This window comes from Homo sapiens, chromosome 19 (genome assembly GCF_000001405.40).
Source record: "Homo sapiens chromosome 19, GRCh38.p14 Primary Assembly".
Lineage (NCBI taxonomy): Eukaryota > Metazoa > Chordata > Mammalia > Primates > Hominidae > Homo > Homo sapiens.
Window position 1 is genome coordinate 3,803,210 of NC_000019.10, and position 24,553 is coordinate 3,827,762.

At 58.5% G+C, this 24,553-nt stretch overlaps 1 protein-coding gene across 2 annotated transcripts in view, besides 4 other annotated features; it reads right to left on the minus strand.

Annotated features, from left to right (window-relative positions):
* Nucleotides 1–814: 814 nt before the first annotated feature.
* ZFR2 (zinc finger RNA binding protein 2) overlaps nucleotides 815–24,553 on the minus strand; it is a 65,015-nt gene continuing 41,276 nt past the window's right edge. Inside the window, exons 6-19 of one of the 2 annotated variants that reach the window (NM_015174.2) lie at nucleotides 24,262–24,444; nucleotides 22,021–22,198; nucleotides 20,037–20,194; nucleotides 18,872–18,991; nucleotides 18,131–18,270; nucleotides 16,973–17,081; nucleotides 15,836–16,026; nucleotides 13,465–13,636; nucleotides 10,611–10,749; nucleotides 8,063–8,157; nucleotides 7,541–7,636; nucleotides 5,663–5,774; nucleotides 3,963–4,060; nucleotides 815–2,916 (exon numbers count right to left, since the gene is read on the minus strand). In NM_015174.2, the coding sequence (NP_055989.1) occupies nucleotides 2,740–2,916; nucleotides 3,963–4,060; nucleotides 5,663–5,774; nucleotides 7,541–7,636; nucleotides 8,063–8,157; nucleotides 10,611–10,749; nucleotides 13,465–13,636; nucleotides 15,836–16,026; nucleotides 16,973–17,081; nucleotides 18,131–18,270; nucleotides 18,872–18,991; nucleotides 20,037–20,194; nucleotides 22,021–22,198; nucleotides 24,262–24,444 (1,968 nt within the window). In that variant the 3' untranslated portion in view covers nucleotides 815–2,739. Of the gene's footprint in view, nucleotides 2,917–3,962; nucleotides 4,061–5,662; nucleotides 5,775–7,540; nucleotides 7,637–8,062; nucleotides 8,161–10,610; nucleotides 10,750–13,464; nucleotides 13,637–15,835; nucleotides 16,027–16,972; nucleotides 17,082–18,130; nucleotides 18,271–18,871; nucleotides 18,992–20,036; nucleotides 20,195–22,020; nucleotides 22,199–24,261; nucleotides 24,445–24,553 lie in introns of both variants that reach the window. The other variant, XM_011527831.3, reaches the window with a different exon arrangement.
* Nucleotides 5,946–6,181: a silencer, noted in NCBI's record as "fragment chr19:3809153-3809388 (GRCh37/hg19 assembly coordinates)". NCBI's record gives its function as "represses an EF-1alpha promoter that drives an FKBP-Casp9 reporter gene in an ReSE screen in HepG2 liver carcinoma cells {active_cell/tissue: HepG2}" and the evidence as "EXISTENCE:reporter gene assay evidence [ECO:0000049][PMID:32094911]".
* Nucleotides 15,222–15,516: a silencer, noted in NCBI's record as "tiled region #15218; HepG2 Repressive non-DNase unmatched - State 21:Repr". NCBI's record gives its function as "represses a minimal TATA promoter and a strong SV40 promoter by Sharpr-MPRA in HepG2 cells {active_cell/tissue: HepG2}" and the evidence as "EXISTENCE:reporter gene assay evidence [ECO:0000049][PMID:27701403]".
* Nucleotides 15,553–15,753: a silencer, noted in NCBI's record as "peak3257 fragment used in MPRA reporter construct". NCBI's record gives its function as "represses an SCP1 promoter by STARR-seq MPRAs in K562 erythroleukemia cells {active_cell/tissue: K562}" and the evidence as "EXISTENCE:reporter gene assay evidence [ECO:0000049][PMID:32103011]".
* Nucleotides 18,591–18,750: an enhancer, noted in NCBI's record as "active region_13745". NCBI's record gives its function as "activates an Ori minimal core promoter by ATAC-STARR-seq in GM12878 lymphoblastoid cells {active_cell/tissue: GM12878}" and the evidence as "EXISTENCE:reporter gene assay evidence [ECO:0000049][PMID:35858748]".

Here is a 24,553-nt window from a genome sequence, read left to right on the forward strand (position 1 = left end):
TGGAAAGCAGGAGAGAGGGTGTGAGGTGGAGGAGGACGGTGGCCTAGAGGCCGCCTGCCCTCCGGGGAGGCTTAACCAGCAATTCCTGTTGCTGACAGATAATCCCTGCTAGAAGGGGACCCCTCGGTGGCTCCCCACCCCCCTCCTTTGGCCTGGGCCTGAAACAGCGGTCCCTGCACACCCAGCCCCTGCCACTCCCGTCCCGCCGCCCCCACCCTGCATCTGCCTCCTCCCCCACCCTGCATCTGCCTCCTCCCCACTCTGCTCCCCGCCTGCCCCCCGTCCCAAACACTGCCAGGGAAGCCCTGTGGGCTGGAAACTGTCACGAAACTCTTCCACTGTGACCAGGTCTCAGCATCTGAACACCCTCCGCCCGCCTTCTGAGGGTTTGGGAATGTGGCGGGGGAAGCACTCTGTGGGCAGAGGCATCTCTCCCAAACTCAGCGTAGTTGCCTCCTCCTCCAGGAAGCCCTCGGGGAGCCTCCAGAGCATCTCACTGTGTGTCTCTAGGATGGGGCCAGGGGAACCCTCAAGGACCGAGGCAGAGAGCTGGGTTATGGGAGGCGTTGAGATGAATGATTCTCAGCCGGTGTGTCTGTGTTCCCAGGGGACCCTTGTGAGGGGACAGCCTGAGGATGCCCACACCTTGGGGAGCAGCCACTGAGCAGTGCCAGCCCCTTGGGCCCCTCCCAGTCCACATTTGGGCTGCAGGGTTTCTGGGAGACCCCCACCCGGGACCCTGAGAAGGAGGTGAAGAGCCCAGCATTTGGGGTCACCTGCACCCCGCAGGAAGGACGGCACGGCTCACACAAAAGACAAATGATTTCCTTTATTCCCCCTGCCTCCCAATTTCCAGGTAGCTCTACAAAGACATTCAGACAGAGCCACATGCAGGCTGTCCTTCAAACACAGAGAAACAAAACTGAGCCACTGGCTGGAGATCACATCTGCCCAAAGGTGGACTTTTCTCATTCAATGCCACTGGGCAGCTGGCCAAAGAAAAAAAAACTGACCAAGCGGAAGGTTTGAACAGGTTGGGGTGGGGACTCAGAAGGGGGTGCCCCCACATCCATCAGTGCCAGGAGGCGCCTGCCCACCATGGCCAGCATCCACAAGACGGCGGCCCCTCCCCGGGTCCCCCAGGCACGGGTCCCGGGCCCTGCTACCACAAGGGGGGATTGGGGACCCCCTGCCTCAGGGCCAGCCAAGGCCTACATCAGGGAGAGAGGGAGGAAGGAAGGACGGAAGCTCAAATCCAGGCCTCAGTGACACATGGCAGAGTGGGTTTTCTCTGTGAAAGGCACTCAGTGGTACAGGGCTCGGGGCGGGGGGTGGGTGGGGGTGCCTCTGGGCTCCGGGTCTGACTGTCCAGCACAGCTGTTCCCGGGGGAGGCCCAGCCAGGATCCTCATCGCCCGTCGGCGTGTCCACCTGGCCCTGTGGCTCTCCCCACAGGGGACGAGCCTGGCTCAGGCCCTGCTGACATCCTGGCTGTGGAGGTGGGTGGGGGGTCTGTTTGGAGCAGGCTGGGCTGGGGGCGTGGGGATGCCGGCTGGGAGCTCCCCTGGGCTTGTCCTGCACATGTGGTGGGGCCCCAGAACAGGGCCTGCCCACGTGATTTCAAATCCATGCCGCAGCCGCATCCAAAGAAAGTTTTGTTTGTTTGTTTGTTTGTTTGTTTGTTTCTTTGAGACAGGGTCTCGCTCTGTAACCCAGGCTGGAGTTCAGTAGCGCAATCTCGGCTCGCTGCAGCCTCGAACTCCTGGGCTCAAGGGATCCTACGGCCTCAGCCTCCCGAGTAGCTGGGACTACAGGCTTGGGCCACCACAACTGGCTAATTTTTTGTAGAGATGGGGTGTCACCATATTGCCCAGACTGATCTTAAACCGCTGGGCTCAAGCGATCCACCAAGCTTGGCCTCCCAAAGTGCTGGGATTATAGGTGTGAGCCACCATGCGCAGCCCAGAGGAAGTATTTTAAAACCCCTTCCTGTACCACGAGGTGAGTTTAGAGCCAGCAAGATGCCCCCGAGTTTAGAATCTGCTTGCTGTACTGCTGGCCCCCCTGGCTGTGGGGGATGGGGCCCTCGAGGAAGGGGTGCCACTCCCAGGGCTGGATGGTGTCATTTCTGTAACAATTTAAGCACAAATGTTAAAAAACATTTCTTTTAAGTGACAAAGTCTTCTTCTGTTGCCCAGGCTGGAGTGTCACGGTGCAATCACAGCTCACTGCCCTCCTGGCCTCAAGGCTCCGGACTCAGCCTCCCAAGTAGCTGGGACTACAGGTGCACACCACCACGCCAGGCTAATTGTTGTGTTTTTTACTAGAGACAGGGTTTCACCATGTTGACCAGGCCGGTCTCGAACTCCTGACCTCAGGCGATCTGCCCACCTCGGCCTCTCAAAGTGCTGGGATTACAGGCGTGAATCACCGCGCCTGGCCACCAACCATGCCAAGCTGATTTTTAAAAATATTTTGGAGAGATGGGGGTCTCACTCTGTTGTCTGGGCTGGCCTTGAACTCTCAGGCTCAAGCAACTCAGCCTCCCAAAGTGCTGGGATTAAAGGCATGAGCCACAGTGCCCGGTCTGAAGCACAGGTGTTTTAAAGGAAACCTACAGAGCGTTACTCAAAAGGAAATGACCATTGTCCAACGTCGGGGATGAAGCAGCCATTGGTCGGCGCGCACACGTCCAGGAGTGCAGGGATGCAAAGGCCCGCAGGTGGGGGAGGTAGGCGGCTCACACGAGCCCCTCTCCGCCCCGCCGGCCCCGCTTCTTCTCCCCTGCGCCCTCCTCTCCCTCGCCAGGTCCCCGTTGCCTCTTCCGGAAGCGGGCCCCCAGCCGGTGTCTGGGCGGCAGGAGATCCATGCCCAGGACCTTGTGGGTCTGCCGGAAGGCCAGCATTCGCAGGGCGTGCTGCGGGGCACACACAGCCTGTCAGGACCCCCGCCCGCTCTGCTCCCCGAGTGCTGGGGACACAGAGGGGCTGGTGTCTGTGGCCACCAGCAGATGGGCCAGGCCTATCCTGTATCCCTCGAGATAGCCCCCGGCCCCCCGCCGCTTTCTTTTTTGAGACACAGTCTCGCTCTGTCACCCAGGCTGGAGTGCAGTGGCGCGATCTCAGCTCATTGCAACCACCGCCTCCCAGGTTCAAGTGATTCTCCTGCCTCAGCCTCCCAAGTAGCTGGGATTACAGGCGTGTGCCACCACGCCCAGCTAATTTTGTATTTTTAGTAGAGACAGGGTTTCACCATGTTGGCCAGGCTGGTCTCGAACTCCTGACCTTGTGATCCGCCCGCCTCGGCTTCCCAAAGTGCTGGGATGACAGGCGTGAGCCACCCGGCCCGGCCGACACCGCTTCTTACGACTGCGGAGCTTGGGTCACTGCAGGGCCTGAGGAATTTTCGCGTGGTGCCGGCTGACCACAAGGACTGTCCCAGGAGGCCCCCCCGCTCCACTGACCACCAGCTCTTTCCGCCTCACTGGAGGGACCCCACATCCTGCACTGCAAGCCATTCCAGTGATCCCATTCAAGGCAAAATTCAGAAACGTCAGACCCGATGCGGTTTGGTTTTGGTGCTGCTAGGAGATTTTTCTTATAAACAAATTTGCAAACAAGGTAACCACAGGTGAGGGCTGGGCAGGCGGAGCTGTCGGCCACGGCTGGGCTTCTAGGACCATGGTCAGTGGTGTGGGGGAGGACGGTCCCTGCCAATGAGACCTGAGGTCTGGGCGTCATTAACGGTGGTGGCTTTGGCTCTCAGCTGCTGGCCCCACGCCACCATGCCAGGCTGGCCCTGTCCCTGTGCGTGGTCCTGCCACCCACGGGCCGCCCTCCTGTTCCTGTACATCTCAGTGGGAGGGAGAGAAGGGGAAACCCAGGCCATTTCGGGGAACACTGCACAGCTGCAAGCCGGAGCTGGGGCCTGGGTGTCACCCTTGCCGTGACTTGACCCTCCTACCTGGGCGCTGGCGGTCACGTCTTCCCGCTCTTGGAGGGTCATGGGCTCGAGGGCATCTGTCTGGTCTCTCTCGCAGGGATCCTGGAGCCCGGGCCCGTCTTTGTGACGGGGAGTGGGAACAGCAAAGAAGGCGAGAATGCCCTCGTGAAAGACGGTGACAGGGCCGTCCCTCGACACCGTGGGGCCTCAGGGGCCCGTGCATGGGGCTATACTTGCAGCCGTGGCACCTCTGACCCTCAGGCCTCTCTCAGCAGGTTCAGGGTCTCACCCGGGCACATGGGGGAGTCCTCCTGGCCCCTCAAAGCCTGTTGGGCTGCCAGCATCTCCTGGGCGTTGTGTGTGTGTTCGTGCCTGTGTGCACCCATGCATATACACATACGCTGACGTGTGTGTCCATGCGTGCCCATGTGCACGTGTGTGTCCGTGTGTGCACGTGTGTGCTCATTGGCGTATGTGCATGTGTGCCTGTGTGTGCATGTGTGCCCGTGTGTGCACCCATGTCGGTGTGTGCTTGTGCATGCACCCATGTGTGTCCATGCATGCACGGTGTGCCCGTGTGTGTGTGCATGTGTGCCTGTGCATGCATGTCCATGTGTGTGCCCATGCGTATGCATGTGCGCCTGTGTGTGCAAGCATGTCCACGTGTGCCTGTATGTGCACTCATTCCATGTGTGTGCCCGTGTGTGTGCATGCATGTGCCTGTGTGTGTGCATGTGTGCCCGTGTGCACTCATGTATGTGTATATGCCCATGTGTGCATGCATGTCTGTGTGTGCATGCACTCATGTCTGTGTGTGCCCGTGCGTGCTTGTGTGCCCGTGTGTGCAGGTACATCCATGTGTGCACCTGTATGTGCACTCATGTCCTTGTGTGCCCGTGCGTGTGCGTGCATGTGTGCCCGTGTGTGCAAGTACATCCATGTGTGCCTGTATGTGTGCTCATATCCATATGTGTGCCCGTGCGTATGTGTGCCCGTGTGTGCAAGTATGTCCATGTGTGTGCCTGTGCGTGTGCATGCACGTGCCTGTGTATGTGCGTGTGTGCCCGTGCGAGTGCGTGCGTGTGCCCGTGTGTGCAAGTATGTGCGTGTGTGCGTGTGCATGCCTACACGTGTGCTTTACATGATGGCCCAGGCAATGGGCCGAAAGCTTCATGCTCCCTTTTCACTTGCTATCATCCTATGTCACTAAAAATGACTCGAAAACACCCTTTTCCGTATCTGGCCGCCACCCTCTCACATGTGTGTCCTGGCGCGTTCTCTTCCCTCTGCTGGTGTAGAACGCATTGTGCTGGGCAGCTCTGCGCCCTCTGTCCTCTGAGCTCCTGGCTGTTCCCTCTGGATAATCTTTGGAGGACAGGCACCGGGGTGGATTTGTGCCAGAGTGGCTCTGTGCCGGGGTGGCTCTGTGCCGCCGCCGGTGGGCGTGGCCACCAGAGAACATAACTGTTGTCTCCTGGGTGGGGGCTGAGCCCTCCCTTCCGGGACCTGCGTGTCTGTGCCCTGCGTGCAGGGTGGTGTCCTCCATGACCGCGGCCCTGTCTGCCTTCCTGCTGGGAGCATGTGTGTGTTGTGGGCCGCACTCCTGCCTGGGCTGGACACTTCCTCTGTGTCTGTGACCCCAGCTCTCTGTGCCATGGCCACGGGCCCTGGTCTCTGCGATTTGCCGCCCACCTCCTGGGCCCTCCGGCCCAGCGACTGACCTGTCAGGAGCGTCCCTGTGGCCACGCACTCCAGGACTCGCCTGACTGCATCCCCGGGGCCCAGGGGCCCAGCCGCACTGCTCACAGCCTTCTCCACCAGCAGCTCCATGGCCTGGTGGGGACAGAAGAGCAGTTGCTGTGTTTTGGGCGCGCGGCAGCCCCTGCCTGCCCGGGAGGTCCTGGGGTCCCTGGGACAGGAGGCCCCCCTCAGCTCTTTCTCTAACTCCCACCACCCACTGAACTTCCGCCGAGGAGGGCTGCCCGTGGCAGGGCTCTGCCACCTCCTGGCACGGCCACAGGCTGGTTTCTTTCTTTTCTGAGAGCGGAGTCTCGCTCTATTGCCCAGGCTGGAGTGCAGTGGCACGATCTCAGCTCACTGCAACCTCTGCTTCCCCGGTTCAAGCGATTCTCCTGCCTCAGCCTCCCATACTGGCTGGTTTCTTCACCCCTCTGAGCCTCAGTTTCCCCGGCCGGTCCACAGTGACATCACATGCCAGTGTCAGGTGCACTGTCCACCACGTGGGGCCCGCCTCAGCTGAGGGGAAGGAGCCACCCTATCCCACCACGTCCCCCCTGTGGCCAGTTCCCGAGGGCACGAGGGGACAGGGGCATTGCTGGCCTCCCACAGCACTGTGTGGGTGCCTCTACAGTCACAGCAGGAAAACAGGTCTCAGGGAACACAGGCTTTCTCCACGTCAGGACAGCCGCACACCGGTCACCCAGCACGGAGGCTACTGTGACCTCCTCCCAGGAGAGGAGAGGACGTTTCCCCTAAACAATGAGTGTGAAAGGTCCGGCGCGGTGGCTCATGCCTGTAATCCCAGCACTTTGGGAGGCTGAGGCGGGCAGATCACTTGAGGTCAGGAGTTCGAGACCATCCTGGCCAACATGGCGAAACCCCATCTCTACTAAAAATACAAAAATTAGCCAGGCGTGGTGGTGCGTGCCTGTAATCCCAGCTACTCGGGAGGCTGAGGCAGGAGAATCGCTTGAGCCCAGGAGGCAGAAGTTGCAGTGAGCTAAGATTTCGCCACTGCACTCCAGCCTGGGCAACAAGAGCGAGACTCCATCTCAAAAAAATGATTTTAAAAAAAAGTAAAAAAGAGACTTAATCTCTACCAAACCAAACAGAACAAAACAAACAAACGCCTCTGTACCATGCTGCATTCTGGACACTGGGCAGTGGGTGGGTGTGGATGAGGCACACAGGCCCAGTGGGAGGGACCACGGGCAAGACACCACTCCAGCACGGGATGGGGGACGCCACTCCAGCATGAGATGGGGGACGCCCGCAGGGCGGGGGGGAGGCCGGGTGTGGATGGCTGGCTTGTGGCTGGTGGAGAAGGTGTGGGGACTGGGTGGGTTCCCGGGGTCTCCGTGGGGAGCGTGGGCATGGGGCGTGCTCTGTGAACCTTGTGGTGAGGGGATTCTGTTTCTTCTCTTCCCTCCCCTTTCTACCAGGATGGGCTGGGGGGTGGTGTTTGAGCCACAGGGGGTCTCCCCTCCAGAGCAGGTGGGTCTGGGCTGGGTCACCCAGAGGCCGGTGTGCAGCCAGGATGGGGAGTCCGGCTTCCGCCCCTCTGCCTGGGCCCCTCTGCCCCGGTGCCACGAAGTCGGGCAGACACCTCACATTTCCCTGGCCAGTCCCACATTTGCATGTGAGGTTCTGGGTTTTGAATAGTGGCAGTCAAATGAGGCTGTGGAGAGGGCCGTCTCCCCCGCAAGGGGACCTCAGGGACTCCCACGGCCTCTCCTGAGTACTAGGTCTCCCGCCGGCTCCTTCGAGGGAAAAGGTCTGTCTCTCAGCCTGGGCCTGTCAGGGCCATGGAGGCCCTTGGGGGTCCCAGTGGAGGGCCGGGCCGCCAGGCACTGCCTTACCCAGGCTGGCAGGGCCCCCCAGGTGGGCACACGCCGGCAGAGGTCCCTCAGGACCCTGATGACGATCACGCATGGCTGCAGGCCGCTGGCTCGAGCCTTCGGGGGAGAAGCACACGGTTAGCTTTCAGGGGCTCACGTGGCCACACGGCATGGCGCCGGGCTCTGTCGTGAGCGTGAACCCCAGGGAGGATAATAGGGAGCCTGGCGGGCCTCGAAGGTGGCGGGTGGAAACAGAGTCCACTCCCACATGAGCCCGGTGCCACCAGGCTGTTGAGTGGCCACGAGACGGCAGCGTCCCCACCCCCAGGGCAGCACCCACTCCTTCCACACTTCCCGACCCCATCAGCCAGGAGCCAGCGTTGGTTGTCAAGTCAGCACTCGGCCAGGAAGCTGATGGCAGGCGTCCCGGTCTGCGCTGGGAGCCCACGGGGCTGAGGCGGCCGCGCCGGGTTGACCTGGTGCCTCTGAGCTACGTTCCTCAAAGTCACCCCTCTCCCCCTGCTCCACCCCTGCCCCCCTGACCTGAAACCACCTGGCATGACGGAGGGCGGCCAGGGACTCGAGGCACTTCTTGGGGCTCAGGACATCACCTGCATCAGCCTGAGGCTCCTCCACACCTTCTAGAAGAAAAACCTCGAGGTGTGCGGGGAAGGTGCCTCGTCCCGCTCTGCTGCCGACGGGGTGAGGGGCTCAGTTTGGGCCCCTCGACGCTTTTTTTTTTTTGAGACACAGTTTCACTGTGTCACCCAGGCTGGAGTGCAGTGGCATGATCTTGGCTCACTGCAACCTCTGTCTCCGGGGTTCAAGTGATTCTCCTGCCTCAGCCTTCCAAGTAGCTGGGATTACAGGTGCCCGCCACCACATCTGGCTAATTTTTGTATTTTTAGTAGAGACGGGGTTTCCCCATGTTGGCCAGGCTGGTCTTGAACTCTTGACCTCAGGTGATCCTCCCACCTCAGCCTCCCAAAGTGCTGGGATTACAGGCGTGAGCCACCGTGCCCGGTGGGGATTTTATTTTTTACGTATTTAGAGACAGGGTCTCGCTCTGTGGCCCAGGCTGGAGTGCAGTGGTGTGACTGGAGCTCACTGCAACCTCGAACTCCTGGGCTCACGTGATCCTCCTGCCTCAGCCTCCTGAGTAGCTGGGACTGCAGGCGTGCACCACCACACCCAGCTAATATTTATTTATTTATTTATTTGTTTGTTTGTGTTGAGATGGAGTCTCACTCTGTTGCCCAGGCTAGAATGCAGTGGCGCAATCTTGGCTCACTGCAACCTCCGCCTCTCGGGTTCAAGTGATTTTCCTGCCTCAACCTCCTGAGTAGCTGGGATTACCGGCGCACGCCACCACGCCCAGCTAATTTTTATATTTTTAGTAGAGACAGCGTTTCACCGTGTTGGCCAGGCTGATCTCGAACCCCTCACCTCAGGTGATCCGCCGGCCTTGGCCTCCCAAAGTGCTAGGATTACAGGCGTGAGCCACCGCGCCTGGCCAAATTTTTTTGTTTTTTTTATAAATGGGGTCTCACTACCTTGCCCAGGCTGGTCTCGAATTTCTGGGCTCAAGCAATCCTCCCACTTGGACCTCCAAAAGTGCTGGGATTAGAGAGGTGGGCCGCTGTGCCCGACCTAAAAAGGGAGTTTTAGAAGCTCACCTCCCCACCACGCTGGGCCTGGGGAGAGGAAGCGGGGGCAGGAAAAGGCCGACAGGAAGTGCACTTTCCTGGGGGGCGGCTCACGGGGCTCTTCTGTCACTGATCTGTCCTCACAGAAGGATTTCCGCTCACTTCATCACCCACCCGAGCCAGGAAAGAGCCACTGTCTAGTGGCCGCCAACCCTTAACCCGCCCCCACAACCGCGCCACTCCCCAGCCTCCTCCGCATTTGTGTCACAGCCTTCAGCTAGCGCCAAAAGCCACTCTCTTCCCCACACTGTACTTAGTTTTTAGATGACTATTTGTGAGGACTGATCGTGACTTTCCATTTAATGATTCAAGGCTCTTATTAAAAAACAAAACAAAACACTTAAGCTTTAAAAAACAAATTGGGCCAGGCATGGTGGCTCATGCCTGTAATCCCAGCACTTTGGGAGGCCGAGGTGGGTGGATCACCTGAAGTCAGGAGTTCGAGACCAACCTGGCCAACCTGGTAAAACCCTGTCTCTACTAAAAATACAAAAAAATTAACTGGGTATAGTGGCGCACACCTGTAGTCCCAGCTACTCGGAGGCTGAGGCAGGAGAATCGCTTGAACCCAGGCGGCGGAAGTTGCAGTGAGCTGAGATTGCGCCATTGCACTCCAGCCTGGGCAACAGAGCGAGACTCTGTCTCAAAAAACAAACAAACAAAAAATACCAAATCGATTGAAAGAGAAACATCAGTAGGTCATGGCCCTCAGTTATGACCAAAAAAGATTACGAAGGGGGTAAAAGATGATAGGAGTTTGGAAAACTGCCCTAGAGACTGTTCTGGAAGATTCCACAGCTGGCTGAGACTTCGGGAGCACAGACGTGCAGTGTGTTACTGATGCCTGTCTTCGCTGTGGCCGCTGGCCAAGACCCTCGCTGCCCCTAGCCTGGCCCGGCCCCTCACCCACCCTCCCAGGCCTGGCAGGTCTGGCTTTAAGACCCCCGATTCCCTACATTCCTAATCAGTGGCACTGGGACTGTGGTGACTGATGGACAGAGTCAAACTGAGCTTCTGCCGTGACCCAGGGGAAATGGCTCAGACCTGTCCTTTGCCGCCAGGGCTGGTGTCACCAGGGCCTGAGAAGCAGGTGCCAGCCCTGGGTAAGGGCAAGGGAGGTGACACGGTGTCGCTTGCCCGAGCAAGGCCCCTGCAGCCAGGCTCTGAGCCCATCTGATGCTGTCACCGACTCGCCGCCTCTGCTGCCCGGAGACCCAGCTCTTGTGTGACCCATGGAATCCTCAGGGGGACAGCAGTGCTGGAGCGTGGCTGCTGTGGCATTTCCTGCTCAGGGCAGAGGCGGACGCTGCCCCAGGCCTGGGTGTGGGGAGCGCCCTGGGGAAGCGTGAGGGGGACAGTGGTTGGAAGGAAGGGCTGGGCCGCACCTGGGTCTGTGGAGGGGTCCTCCCGCATCAGAGGTGAGGTGACAGATATGGTGACCTGCATCCTGGGCTCCTCACAGGAGGAGATGACAATGTTGGCTTCAGGGTCGGAGGAGACCTCATACTCATCCTCGGTCACCATCTGGGAGGGGTAAATACAACACAAGGCCACCTTACTGCAGCCCAGATTCATGTGTAAATCAGCCAGGATGTGGTTGGTGTGTGTAAATTAATCCCGTCGGGCCTCCCACACTTGCTGCCTGGGTGCCGGGCCCTGTGCCCTGTGTCTGGAACCTCCAAGTGACCAAGACACAGCCGCAGCCCTCCAGGAGTGCACACATGTAGAGATATGTACAGACAACAGATCATGTGATGCAAGGAGCCTCCATATGTAAAGAATACCTGTAATTCAATAACAAGAAGACCAGCAATCCAATAAAAAAATTGGTGAGTGAAATAACAGATACCTGGCAGAAAAAGAAACACAAATGGCCCTTTTTACACAGTGACACACATTACCCCATAGTCAGGGAGGAGTAAACTAAAACCATAATGAGACGCCACCATCTCCTGTGAGCAGGACATAGCTCAAGAGGTCTGTGTCACAGTCTGGTCTTCCTGTCCATGGTCATCACCCTCCATGAGGCCTGTGCTCACACCTGAGCCTGGCCTCCCACCTGAAACGCACCTCTCTCCCCATCCTCCATCCCTTCCCTTCTCAGGGCCTCCCTGCTGCAAGGCAGCCCCCAGGGGGCTCCGTTGACATTACTGGGGTGGATGTTGTCAGCTTCCCCACAGCCTTATACATTCTCATGGGGCTCAGTTATTGTCTTTGCCACCAGGCTGCAAGTTTTCCAGAAAGCAGGGGCTGTATCTATCATGTTGTGGCCACTGTCATGTTGTAGGTGTGCAGGAAATGTGAGATGCAATTATTGAAGTCAGAGCATGTCACTCCCCTGCTCAAAACCCTCCAGCCTCCCCACTTCCCTAAGAATGCAATCCTACCTCCTGGTACGGCCTTCAGGCCTGGCTTGATCTAGGTGCCCCCTCATTCCCTCGTGCCCACCCCTCCTTGCTCTGGGCCTCCTGCTTTTTGGCCTCTGCAGGTGCTGGTCATTCTATGGGGAACACTGTCTCCCCGACCAGGCACTGCCCATCCACTGGGCATCCAGTGCCCACTGGAAAAGTCAAAGGAGTAAGGCTGAGTTTTCCCAGGGATGGTGACAGACGCTCAGGAAGAAGGAACGACTCTGGGGACTGATTTTTCATTTTTCTTTCTTTCTTTTTTTTTAAGACAGAGTCTTACTCTGTGGCCCAGGCTAGAGTGCAGTGGCACTATCTCTGCTCACTGCAACCTCTGCCTCCAGGGCTCAAATGGTTCCCCTCCCTCAGCCTCCTGAGTAGCTGGGATTACAGGCGCCCACCACCATGCCCGGCTAATTTTTGTATTTTTAGTACAGATGGGGTTTTACTATGATGGCCAAGCTGGTCTCGAACTCCGGACCTCAGGTGATCCACCTGCCTTGGCCTCCCAAAGTGTTGGGATTACAGGCATGAGCCACCACGCCAGGCCCGATTTTTCTTTTTAAACCTAAGATGATCAATGTAAATTCTTCAGTATGAGAAGAGTATATGAAAATTCTCTAGAGGAAAAAAATTCAGTTGACATTTCACAGCCCTAAAATTGAAATTGGGTTTTTGCTTTTCTTACGGCTTCCTAGTCGCCATTGCTGCGAATGTTTTCTGTGCAGCTTTCATCATCATTTACTCTTTTTGAATTTCTTTTGAGACTGAGTTTTGCTCTGTTGCCCGGGCTGGAGTGCAGTAGTGAATCACAGCTCACTGAAGCCTCGAACTCTTGGGCTCAAGGGATTCTCCCGCTTCAGCTCCCTGAGTAGCTGGGACCACAGGTACATGCCGCCATGCTCAGCTAATTTTTTTTTTTTTTTTTTTTAGACGGAGTCTCGCTCTGTCGCCCAGGCTGGAGTGCAGTGGCGCGATCTCGGCTCACTGCAACCTCTGCCTCCCGGGTTCATGCCATTCTCCTGCCTCAGCCTCCCGAGTAGCTGAGACTACAGGCGCCCGCCACCACGCCTGGCTAATTTTTTTTTTGTATTTTTAGTAGAGACGGGGTTTCACCGTGTTAGCCAGGATGGTCTCGATCTGCTGACCTCGTGATCTGCCCATCTCAGCCTCCCAAAGTGCTGGGATTACAGGTGTGAGCCACCCCGGCTGGCCCATGCTCAGCTAATTTTTAAGTTTTTTGCAGATACAGGTTCTCACTATGTTGCCCAGGCTGGTCTCAAACTCCTGGACTCGAGTGATCCTCCTGCCTCAGCCTCTCAAAGTGCTGGGATTTCAGGTGTGAGCCACCATGCCTGGCTAACAAACTGGTTGGTTTCTAACAGCGATGCTTCTTCTTGTATCTTTTTTTTTTTTTTTTTTTTGAGACCCAGTCTCGCTCTGTCGCCCAGGCTGGAGGGCAGCAGTGCAATCTCAGCTCAGTGCAACCTCTGCCTCCGGGATTTAAGTGATTCTCCCACTTCAGCCTCCCACATAGCTGGAATTACAGGCACATGTCACCAGGCCTGGCTAATTTCTGTATTTTTAGTAGAGACGGTGTTTCACCATGTTGGCCAGGCTGGTTTCAAACTCCTGACCTCAAGCGATCCACCTGCCTCAGCCTCCCTAAGTGCTGGGATTACGGACGTGAGCCACTGCGCCTGGCTTAATGCTTCTTGTACCTTAAAGTTGTGTAGTAACAAAGGTCCCCTGCCATCTAGGAGCGCAAGGGGCTGCGGGGAGAGGGCTGGCAGCCAGACGCCAGAAGCAGCGATGAGCAGGGCCCTGACCTTACCTGGAGCTGCCGGGGCAGCTGCTGGGCGATCCTCCGCAGCAGGCTGTGCGTGGGCTTCTCGGAGCAGAGCAGAGCGAGGCGCACGTTCCTGTCCCCACGCAGGAGGAGGCCTTTCGCCAGGATGCCTACTCGCATGACGCCTTTCAGGACCCGAGTCTGGGGGGCAACGCTGCTGTGGGGACAAAGCCACAGACGTGCGCCATCAGCGGAGAGACGCGGGGTACCCCAGCTGCCTCCCTCCTGAGCTACGGGGACCCTGCAAGTTACAGAGCCTCTCTGTGCCTCGGCATCCTCATCCATGAAATGGGACCAGGCCGCTCTGTCGGAGGCGCTTGCGGGATGAAATGAGACACCGTGAGATCGATCTCGGAGGTGCTGTCACCGGGCATGCCTCGGAGTAGCCGGGACGCGTGGCCAAACCCACATTTTCCTTCCTTGTGAGCAAACGCTAAGCCCCAGGCCCGCCCCGCGAGGTCTGGTGGCTCCCGCGTTCACGGACTCTGTCACCCTGTTGTTTCGGCTCCACATGGGTTCCAGAGAGGACAGAAAGCAAGGCTGCTTTCTGCTCTTGCTTCACGGGGGTTAAGAAAATTCACAAACCTAGGCCGGGCGCAGTGGCTCACGCCTGTAATCCCAGCACTTTGGGAGGCCGAGGTGGGCAGATCACTTGAGGTCAGGAGTTTGAGACCAGCCTGACCAACATGGCGAAAACCCATCTCTAATAAAAATATAAGAATTAGCCAGGCATGGTGGCGGGTGCCTGTAATCTCAGCTACTTGGGAGGCTGAGGCAGGAGAATCGCTTGAACCCAGGAGATGGAGGTTGCAGTGAGCCGAGATTGTGTCACTGAACTCCAGTTTGGGAGACAGAGCAAGACTCCATCTCAAAATAATGATAATAATAATAATAATAATAATAATAATAATAATAATAATTAGCTGGGTGTGGTGGTACATTCCTGTAGTTCCAGTACTTGGAAGGCTGAGGCAGGAGAATCACTTGAACCTGGGAGGCAGAGGTTGCTGTGAGCCGAGATCGCACCACTGCACTCCAGCCTGGGCAACAGAGCAAGACTCAGTCTCAAAAAAGAAAAAAAAAAAAAAAAAAGGAGAGGGCAGCTTCCTGGGCGCTCCTTGTATTGGGACACTTTGCAACCCACAGGTGCAAGGCTCACATTTCCTATATGGAGCTCTGTGCTCCAGCAAAAGGAAGCCCTCAGGCCAAGTGGATCAGCCAGACACAAAAGGCCACACGGTGTGCGACCCCATTTCTATGAACTGTCCAGCACAGGCCAATCCACAGAGACAGGGCGGGCACGCATGGGTGCACGAAACAAAAAGAGGAGTTTGCTTAATTGGGACAGAGCTTCTGTTTGGGAAGATGAGACAGCTGTGGAGATGGACAGGGGTGTAGTTTGCACGTGTGAACGTGCTTCATGCCCCTGAACTGTGCACTTAGACAGGTTAAAATGCTCAGTGTTGTGTGATGTGGATTTTACCACAATAGAGAAGCATTCAAAGAGGAAAGTGAACCCGTAATCCCGGCACTTTGGGAGGCCGAGGTGGGAGGATCGCTTGAGCCCGGGAGTTCAAGACCAGCCTGGCTAACATAGCGAGACCTCTCCCTGCTACAAAGAGTTAACAATTAGCTGGGTGTGGTGGTGGGCGCCTGCAGTCCCAGCTACTCGGGAGGCTGAGGCGGGAGGACAGCTTGAGCCCGGGGGTCTGAGGGTCAGTGAGCTCTGATCGCGCCATTGCCCTCCAGCCTGGGTAACAGAGTGAGATCTGTTTCTTAAAAAACAAAACAAACAAAAAAACAACAACAACAAACAGCAGCTGCCAGAGCAGGAAAGGACTTTGAAAAAAGGTAACTCCCGCTCAGATGAGTTATCTCCATGGCAATTACTTAGACGACGTGGGGACTTTCTCACTTCCTAAGAATCACAGGGGTTGGGAGCTGATTCACACGGGCACTCAGTGACATGAACTACTCTGATTACTCAGTCACTCCCCAAGGCGGAGAAGTCCGTCAGAATCACGCTCAGCTTTTCCTTTTGCCAATGAGGAAACTGAGGTTTACAGAGACTGTCAGTCCCTTGTGAACTATTTTTAGATGCGCCTTCAATAGCAAAAGGGAATGCTAAGGCATTAGAACAGCACGGATCACCCGCTGCAAACCAGCCTCGTTCAGTGCCGAGAAGCTCCAGCTCTGAGACCTGGGGAACTTCCTACTCCTGGGGCTGGAAAGCTGCCGCGGGCCACCGACGGCTCCAGGCCCATCAGAGCTAGGGGTTCCTGCAGGGTCTCGTCCCGAGGAGCTGACCTCTGTCCTGGCTGAGAGCCGGGCCCTGGGGAAGGGGATCTCCAATGACCTGCGCTTGTCACCCTCTTCCTCTCGGCGGCCCCGGTCCTCCTCGGCCAGTGTGTCGGACACCAGCTTGAGGGCCCGCTCTGCGTGGGACACGGCCCTCTGCACGGCCAGGAGCTCCTGCTCCGTGGGGTAGATGGTGGCGTGCTTGCACATGACGTGCCGGTCGTCGCTGGACGCCGGCCGCCGCCCGGGCTGTGGGGAGAGGCCGCACGTGTCAAGGGTGGTCTGTGGGGACCCTTGGGGAGTGCTGGGCAGGCGGGCAGGTGGGGGCAGGTGGCCGTGGCCAGCCAGGTTACGAGGCGGCAGCGTGGCCAGGTGAGAATCCAGTGCACACAGAGAGCCCCGGGGTGGGGAACAGGGAAGTACCTCGGGCTGCCCCGATGGCTGCAGGAAGCTCGGGTCTGAGTGAAGGAATGGGGGGAAACTCCGCCACCTTTGGCCATATTCTTAAATTTCCAGACCAGAGGCTTTTGAGTCAGCCTGGGAACCCTTTCTCACAGCAAGGTGCAAATCCGAGGTTCCCATTGAGGCCGGGCGCGGTGGCTCACGCCTGTAATCCCAGCACTTAGGGAGGCCGAGGCGGGCGGATCACCTGAGGTCAGGAGTTCCAGGCCAGCCTGGCCAACATGGTGAAACCCTGCCTCTACTAAAAACACAAGAGAGCCCGGCGTGGTGGCGGGCGCCCATAGTCCTGGCTACTCAGGAGGCTGAGGCATGAGAATCGCTTAAACCCTGGAGGCAGAGGTTGCAGTGAGGCCACGATTGCACCGCTACACTCCAGCCTGGGCGACAGAGTGAGACTCTGTCTCAAAAAAAAATAGTTCCCATCGAACCTGGGGGCTCGGGCTGCGGGGACAGGTGCTTCTGAGAAGAGACAGTAGTAGCCACAGAGGCATGAGGCTCCCCAAGGGAGGCGACCACCCGGGGCTCCAGGAAGCAGAAGGGATCTCTGTGGCCAGTGGCAGGGGCTGGGGTGCTGGGGCTCCCATCTGTGGAGTGAGGAGGCCTGGGCCATGGAGCCCCATCCCCTGAGTACTATGTGGGAGTTGGGGGGAGGCCGGGTCCTCCCGAGGAGGTGTCCGCTGCTCCGGGGAGTGTGAGGTCGCCCGCGTTTGCACACAGAGGAAACTGTACCTACCTGGAGTGGGGCGCTGGCGGGTGACTCCGGCCTGCCCATGAGCAGAGGCTGGGCCCAGTCGGGCGGCGCGTGGGGCGGCACGTCCTGGGGTGGCTCCTCCTCCAGCCGCCTGCAGGACCGAGACGTGACAGAGCATGGTCAGGCCAGCAGTGGCCCTAAGCTGGGGGCAAGTCAGAAACACTGGGGCCTTATGCTCCCAGCAAGGAAGGAAGGGCCAAAGCTCTTGCTGGGGCTCCACTGCACTGCATGGGTGCCTGCTGTATGCACAGAAGACTGAGGCTGGGAAGGCTGGTGTGGGGGGCAGCCAAAGACACCCCTTAGGCAAATGAGGCCCAGCCCGGGCAGCCATGGCCTTCAGGAGGTCCTGGTTCCCTTCCCAATGCAGACCTGCTGCTGCTGGACACACCAGAGTCAGATGTTACATCAGAAAATGCTCTAGGATGGACACAGGGGACACTGGGAATGAGGGGACGCTAGGGGATCAGGGGGACACAGGAGACTCCAGGGGTCAAGGGGACTCAGGGGATACCAAGGGTAAGGGGACACAGGGTCATCAGGGGTCAGGAGACACAGGAACACCAGGGGACAGAGGGACACCAGGGGTCAGGGGGACTCCAGGGGTCAGGGGTCACATGGCACACTAGAGGTCGGGGGACACAGGGACACCGGGGGTCGGGGGACACAGGGACACTAGAGGTCGGGGGACACAGGGACACTAGAGGTCGGGGGACACAGGGACACCGGGGGTCGGGGGACACAGGGACACTAGAGGTCGGTGGACACAGGGACACTAGAGGTCGGGGGACACAGGGACACTAGAGGTCGGGGACACAGGGACACCGGGGGTCGGGGGACACAGGTCACAAGGCACCTCTGCAGCCGTGTGGTCCAGCGAGTTGGCCGGCAGTGTCCCTGCGTCTACGGAGGCCCTGGAGCCCACGTGTCAGGTCCGCACGCCACTGTGCCCTTGCCCGTCTGCTCTGGAACCCTCTCACGCTCCCACACCAGGACGTGCCCACTGCCCGGGCACCCGTCTCCCCCCACTGCTCGAGAGCTCACACGGAGGAGCTCCGTAATCTGCAGCAGTGGGCGTCTAGGTTCCACGCTGGACCTGCCCTCCCTCACCAGGCCCCCTTGCCAAGACCCGCAGCCGGGCACCTCCTCTCCGCGTGCCAGCGCCGCAGCTGCTCCAGCCGCTCCTCCGCCAGGTGCCGCTGCTTCCTCATGCGCTCCTCCAGGACCTTCCGAGCCCGGCTGCTGGGCTCCGTGGCAATGGGAAGGTCCGGGTTCACTTTCTTCTGGAAAGGACAGGCAAGGCTCTGAGAGTAGGGACCTTGCTTTAGACAGGGATGCCAGGAGGATCTTGGGGTGCAGGGAGAGGCCCAGAGACTAGAACTGTTGGGCTGAAAAATCTCCCAAAGCCTTTTTTTTTTTTTTTTTTTTTTTTTCGAGACAGAGTCTTGCTCTTGTCTCCCAGGCTGGAGTGCAATGGTGTGACCTCGGCTCACTGCAACCTCCGCCTCCCGGGTTCAAGCGATTCTCCTGCCTCAGCCTCCCGAGTAGCTGGGATTACAGGTGCGCACCACCACACCTGGCTAATTTTTGTATTTTTAGTAAAGATTTCACTATGTTGGCCAGGCTGGTCTCGAACTCCTGACCTCAAATGATCCACCCAACTTGGCCTCCCAAAGTGCTGGGATGATAGACGTGAGACACCGCGCCCGGCCGAAGATACACTTTTGAGACGAGGACCAAGACGTTGAAAACCCAGAAAATCACCCCTCCCTCTTAAGTTCGTCGGATCACACGCGCGGAAGAGGCCCGACCACAGGCCTCCCAGCGCCCGCCGGGCCCTAGCACAGCCCGGACGGGTGTCGGAGCTCCCCCTGCTGGACGCACCCGGTACTGCAGCCGGTGCCGCCGCCCCCTCACGTGCAGGTCCTTCGCGTTAAGGTCGTTGAAACTGCACTCGCACAGCTTGCAGTGGAAGCGAAGCACTCGCCCTTCGTCGCTGAACACCTGAGACACAGAACAGCCGCACGCGCACCAGGCACGAGGCGGGGTGGGATGTGAGATGCTACCGCTGCCAGGTCGCGGCGGAGCCTTCCTCCTTGCTGCTCATTTTATTTATGTATGTCTTTTTAGAGACAGCGTCTTGCTGTGTCACCCAAGCTGGAGTGGAGTACAGTGGCTCGGTCTTGGCTCACTGCAGCCTCAAACTCCTGGGCTCAAGCGATCCTCCCACCTCAGCCTCCCGAGTAGCTGGGACCACAGGCACACGCCACCATGGGAGGCTGGAGGATTGCTTGAGCCCAAGAGTTCAAGACCAGCCTGGTCAACATAGCGAGACCCCCATCTCTACAAAAAAAATAAAAAATACAAAAATTAGCTGGGAGTGGTGGCTCATGCCTGTAGTCCCAGCTACTCAGGAGACTGAGGTGGGAGGATTGATTGAGCCCAGAAGTTTGAGGTTGCAGTGAGCCATGATGGCACCACTGTGCTCCAGCCTCGGTGACACAGCAAGACCCTTTCTCTTAAAAGAATCCCAGGCCTACAGGCAAGGCAGAGGAAACCCAGCCCTGCCTCTTTGGCACGCACAAGGCCAACCGGGGTCTGAACTGCCGCTGGCCTGGGAGCTGGCAGACCTGGCCCAGGAGCTCGGCTCCACTGCTCACCAGCCTGACCTTGGCAGGTCCCAGGGTCCCGCAGGCCCAGGAAAGGGGCTAGACAGAAGGGCTTCCAACCTCCCGGGGAGCTTTCTACTGCCCAGATCCCTTCCACCTTCCAGACAGACGGCTCCGCAGGGTCCCCTGTTGGGAATGCCTCGGCCTGTCTCTGGCCCTCACGGGGCCATATTCATTTCCTGCTGATACCAAAATCCGGCACCCAAAGTGTCAAGCGGGTCTGCACGGGGTTTTGGTCCATGGAGGTCTGGCCTGTGCAGCTCAGGAACGGGGATGGGTCTGTAAATCTCGCTGGGAGAAGCCGGGTGAGGTCTCGAAGCCTGATCCATGGGAAGGTCCTTCCCTGACCGGGGCACCAGGACTTGACAGCCTCGACTTACCTCCTCCACATATTCCGGGCCCACCGGCTGCGCATCAGAGCAGCCCGCGGGAGCTTCCTTTGAGCCTCCTTGGGTAGGTGCTCCGGGACCCTCTAATTTAGGTTGGGCTGGTTTCCCCCACTGGGGTCTGCAGCCTGCTGCCTGTGGCTCAGGAGGCCCTGAGGGGAAAAACCATGTCACTTATACCCTGTTCCAGGAGAAAGCACTGCAGCTGCAGACCCGCCAGGCGGCATGGGGTGGAGAGCCACCCAGACTGCAGGCTGTGCCATCCCCCTCCCTCCTGTGATGTCAGGGGGAATGGCCCCGGACAGCAACCTCGCTCTCCCTTTCATGCCTGCGTGTGACCCAGCCAAGAAACCGAGGCCAATTTCAATCCATCCGGGGAGAAGCCCTGGTTTTAGGCCCTCGCTTGAGGAACCCACCGACAGCACAAAATCCACAGTTAATAGACCATGAAGTATCAGGCGGACCAAGGCTCGCACTTAACCTACCCCCGTTAGGCGAAATGATGGAGCCTCGGGGGGAGACAAATATCTTTGTTATAAGAATGACTTGATGGTTTGATCTTCAAAATCATGTTGCTATTCAAGAATCAACGCTGCTGAGGCTAAAAATAGAATGTGGCTCCCTCGACCCCTGCCCACGCACAGCACGGTGGTCCAGGGCAGAGACTCTTAGACAGACCCGGGTTCCAATTCCACCTCCACCGTTTACGGCTTTTCCATCTACACATTGGGACTGGTGACAACATTGACTCAAATGAGTTGTGGGCTGGGCACAGTGGCTCATGCCTGTAAACCCAGTGCTGCGGGAGGCCGAGTTGGGAGGATCGCTTAAGCCTAGGAGTTTCCGACCAGCCCCAGCAACATAGCAGAACCCCACCTCTACAAAAAAAAATACAAAAAGTAGTGGGATGTGGTGGTGCACACCTGTAGTCCCAGTTACTCAGGAGGCTGAGCTGGGAGGATCGCTTGAGCCCAGGAGGTGGAGGCTGCAGTGAGCTATGATTGCACCTCTGCACTCCAGCCCGGGTGACACAGTGAGACTCTGTCTCAAAAACAAAACAAAACAAACCACGAAAAAAGAGTTGTCGTGGAGGTAAAGCGAAGCAATGCACACAAAGCAGTGAGCAGACGCCTGGCATGTAATCCTAGTTAACGCGGGTCAGCTCTGACAGCTGGGGCTTTGCACGCAGGGAAGGTAGGGTCACAGGCAGAGGGGTGTGAGGATTCCACCTTCATTTCCTGGTACCCATATAACTCTGATTCTGAGCCCAATTTGTTCACCGTGAGCACCAGGGCATGCAGGGGAGCACAGTGGAGGTGGCAGCCCAGGGAACCCTGTAGGTGCAGGGTGAGGGCTTCCAGAGAACCCCAGCACCCGGCACCAGGCCAGATTCTACCAGAAGAGGCCGGGCGCAGTGGCTTACGCCTGTGATCCCAGCACTTTGGAATGCCGAGGCTGGTGGATCACTTGAGGTCAGGAGTTCGAGACCAGCCTGGCCAACATGGTGAAACCCTGTCTCTACGAAAAATACAAAAATTAGCCGGGCGTGGTGGTGCATGCCTATAGTCCCAGCTACTCAGGAGGCTGAGGCAGGAGAATCGCTTGAACCCAGGAGGCAGAGGTTGCAGTGAGCTGAGATCGCACCACTGCACTCCAGCCTGGAGGACAGAGCGAGGCTCCATCTCAAACCAAAACAAAACAAAAAAACTCTACAGGAAGAAATGGCATTACCATTTTATTGGTTCTGCCAGCACTCTCTGGAAATGGTCTCAAAGGGTCTCCAAGGTTCAGGGCGGTGTGGGCCAGTGGGAGGCCATCTTGCTCTGCAGGAATAAGGGAGAGACGGCACCAGCCAGCCCCTCACCACCCCCCGGGAAGACATGACGAAAATCGACTGGATGGTAGATTTTCTCACGAAACTTTCACTAGGCGGCCAGGGCTCTGGTGGGTACACGAACACGCATACAGACACACGTACCCTCGCATAAGGCCTTCGAGGCCACGGGTCTCTTGGCCAGCGCTGGCCTGCTCGAGGCACACACGCTGGGGCCAGTGGGGGACGTGGGCTTGGCCTCTGCCCCGGGGGGGCTCTCTGTGGCCAGTGCAGGCTCGAGGGTGGGAATGGGCTTCCCCAGTTTGGCGTGCAGCTTGAAGACCTGCAACAGACAGAGCCGGGCTCCCGCGTGAGGGCCGCTCCCAGCCTGATGGCCTTTTTCAAGAGGCAGGAAGGGCCTCCACGGGCGTGCAGCGCGAGTGTGGGCTGGCCGGTCCCAGGGACCCCCCTCTCTTCTCTCCTCCTGCTCTCTGGATAACACCCACTCCAGAAGGCCCTTCCCAGGTGGCCTCCTGCCTTGCACACGTGCTTGTGACTTCTCTAGCACGGTGACACTCCTCTAGTGTGTGAGCACGTGGCTCACCGGCTCACACGGACGCTCTTCCTCCTCCTCCACCACGTGGGCTGCCAGGTGGGGCCGTTTCTCAGCCTCCCAAGCCCCAGCCTAGTGCTCCCTGACTGCCCGGGACTCAGCATGTGTGGATGGATGGTGGGTGTGCACGTGTCCCTGGACGGACACCCACGTTCTGCACGCACGTGTGCACATGGTCACGTCCGTATTCTGGCCGTGCCCCATTCTCAGCACCTCTAGGTACAAGGTGTTTCTGGCAAAGGTTCCGTGTGCACAGGGCCACTGTGTGTGTGCTGGGGACCATCTCAGACACACTTCCCAGCTCTGTCTCTGACACGCTGTACCCTGGTACAAGACCTGCCCTGTACCCCCCAACCCCACAACGGGCAGCAGGGCCTGCCTGACCCCCAGACTGAGCCCCAGCCTGTGGGGGTGACACCTGCAGCTCTGCCCCACCGGCCCCTAGCTCTCCGGTCCCCAGGCCAAGTCTCCTTCCCCCGTTTCTCTGCCCCGCTCCTTCCCTCCTCCATGCCTCCCTGCTCATTCCTCTTTCCCCTGTGGGTTCACACGGGCCCTCAGCAAGCTGTCCTGAGCCGAGCCAGGGAATGAGGCCCTGGATGAGCCTCCAGGCAGCTGGGGGAGAGAAGCCAGGTCCTCAGCCAGGCCTCTCAGGGTGGCTCAGCCTGACAGCCCGGGCTACAGCACAAGCCAGCTGTCCCCTCCCTGCTCTCAGGTGGGGACTCCATCCCCTCCCCGCCGAACATGACGAAACCCAGGCCTCTTTTTTTTTTCTTTTGGCGACAGAGCCTTGCTCTGTCGCCCAGGCTGGAGTGCGGTGGCGAGATCTCAGCTCACTGCAACCTCCACCTACCGGGTTCAAGCAATTCTCCTGCCTTAGCCTCCTGAGTAGCTGAGATTACAGGCACGCACCCACCACGCCCGGCTAATTTTTGTATTTTTCAGTAGAGACGGGGTTTCACCATGTTGGCCAGGCTGGTCTCAGGCTCCCAACCTCATGCGATCCACTCGCCTCGGCCTCCCAAAGTGCCGGGATTACAGGCGTGAGGCACCACGCCCGGCCTGACCCAGACCTTACTAAGGCCTCAGGAGAACAGTGATACTACAGCAGGGAGTGTGAAGAGCAAGACCTCAAAGGGAACACAGCATTGGGTCTCATCACAGGGCAAGCCCTGTCTGTCACCACGCCCGAATGCCAAGCTTTCTTGGAAGTCCGGGTGTGAGTGTCTCGGCCACTTCATGTTTTTGTGCAATGAGCAGGAACCCTTTTTATAAGTGGAAAGGAGTCCCCGCACGGTGGCTCACGCCTGTAATCCCGGCACTTTGGGAGGCTGAGGCGGGCAGATCACTTGAGGTCAGGAGTTCGAGACCAGCCTGGCCAACATGGTGAAACCCCGTCTCTACTGAAAACACAAAAATTAGCCGGGTGCGGTGGCGGATGCCTGTGATCCCAGCTACTCAGGAGGCTGAGGCATGAGAATTGCTTGAACCCAGGAGGCAGAGGTTGCAGTGAGCCGAGATTGTGCCCCTGCATCCCAGCCTGGGGAACAGGACGAGACTTTGTCCCCATTAAAAAAAATAATAAAATGAAAACTAAAATAAAATAACTGGAAAGGAGTTTGGATCCTTGAAGATGAGGACGCATGGGCCTGGGCGGCTGGCCCTTGGGGCGCGCTCCACTTGGGGAGGCTTCTCCCAGCTCCCTCTGATCTCCCCAGGTACCTCTGTGGGTCCCAAGTGCTGACCTGGGGGCCTTCTCCCCAGGGTGGCAGAGCCTGGGCCGGGCGGGGCCGTACCTTCTGGTGCTTGGATCCCCGGATGTGGGCCGCGTAGGCGTCCGCCCCGGTGCAGGACACGGCGCACAGGTCGCAATGCAGCTGCGCCTGCACCCCGCGCGGGCTCCCGTTGGGCTGCACGCCTGTCTTCTGGGCCGCCTCCTTCTTTCTGTGCTTCTGCCCTCCCAGATGTTCCCGGTAGGTCTGCGGCAAGGGGTGAGAGGCAGCCTGGGCGGGGGTTTGCACACTGGCCACTGTCCCCTCCCCTGCAGGCCCCCGGCTTAGCGCGAGGGAACTCGGTGGTAACAGAGGC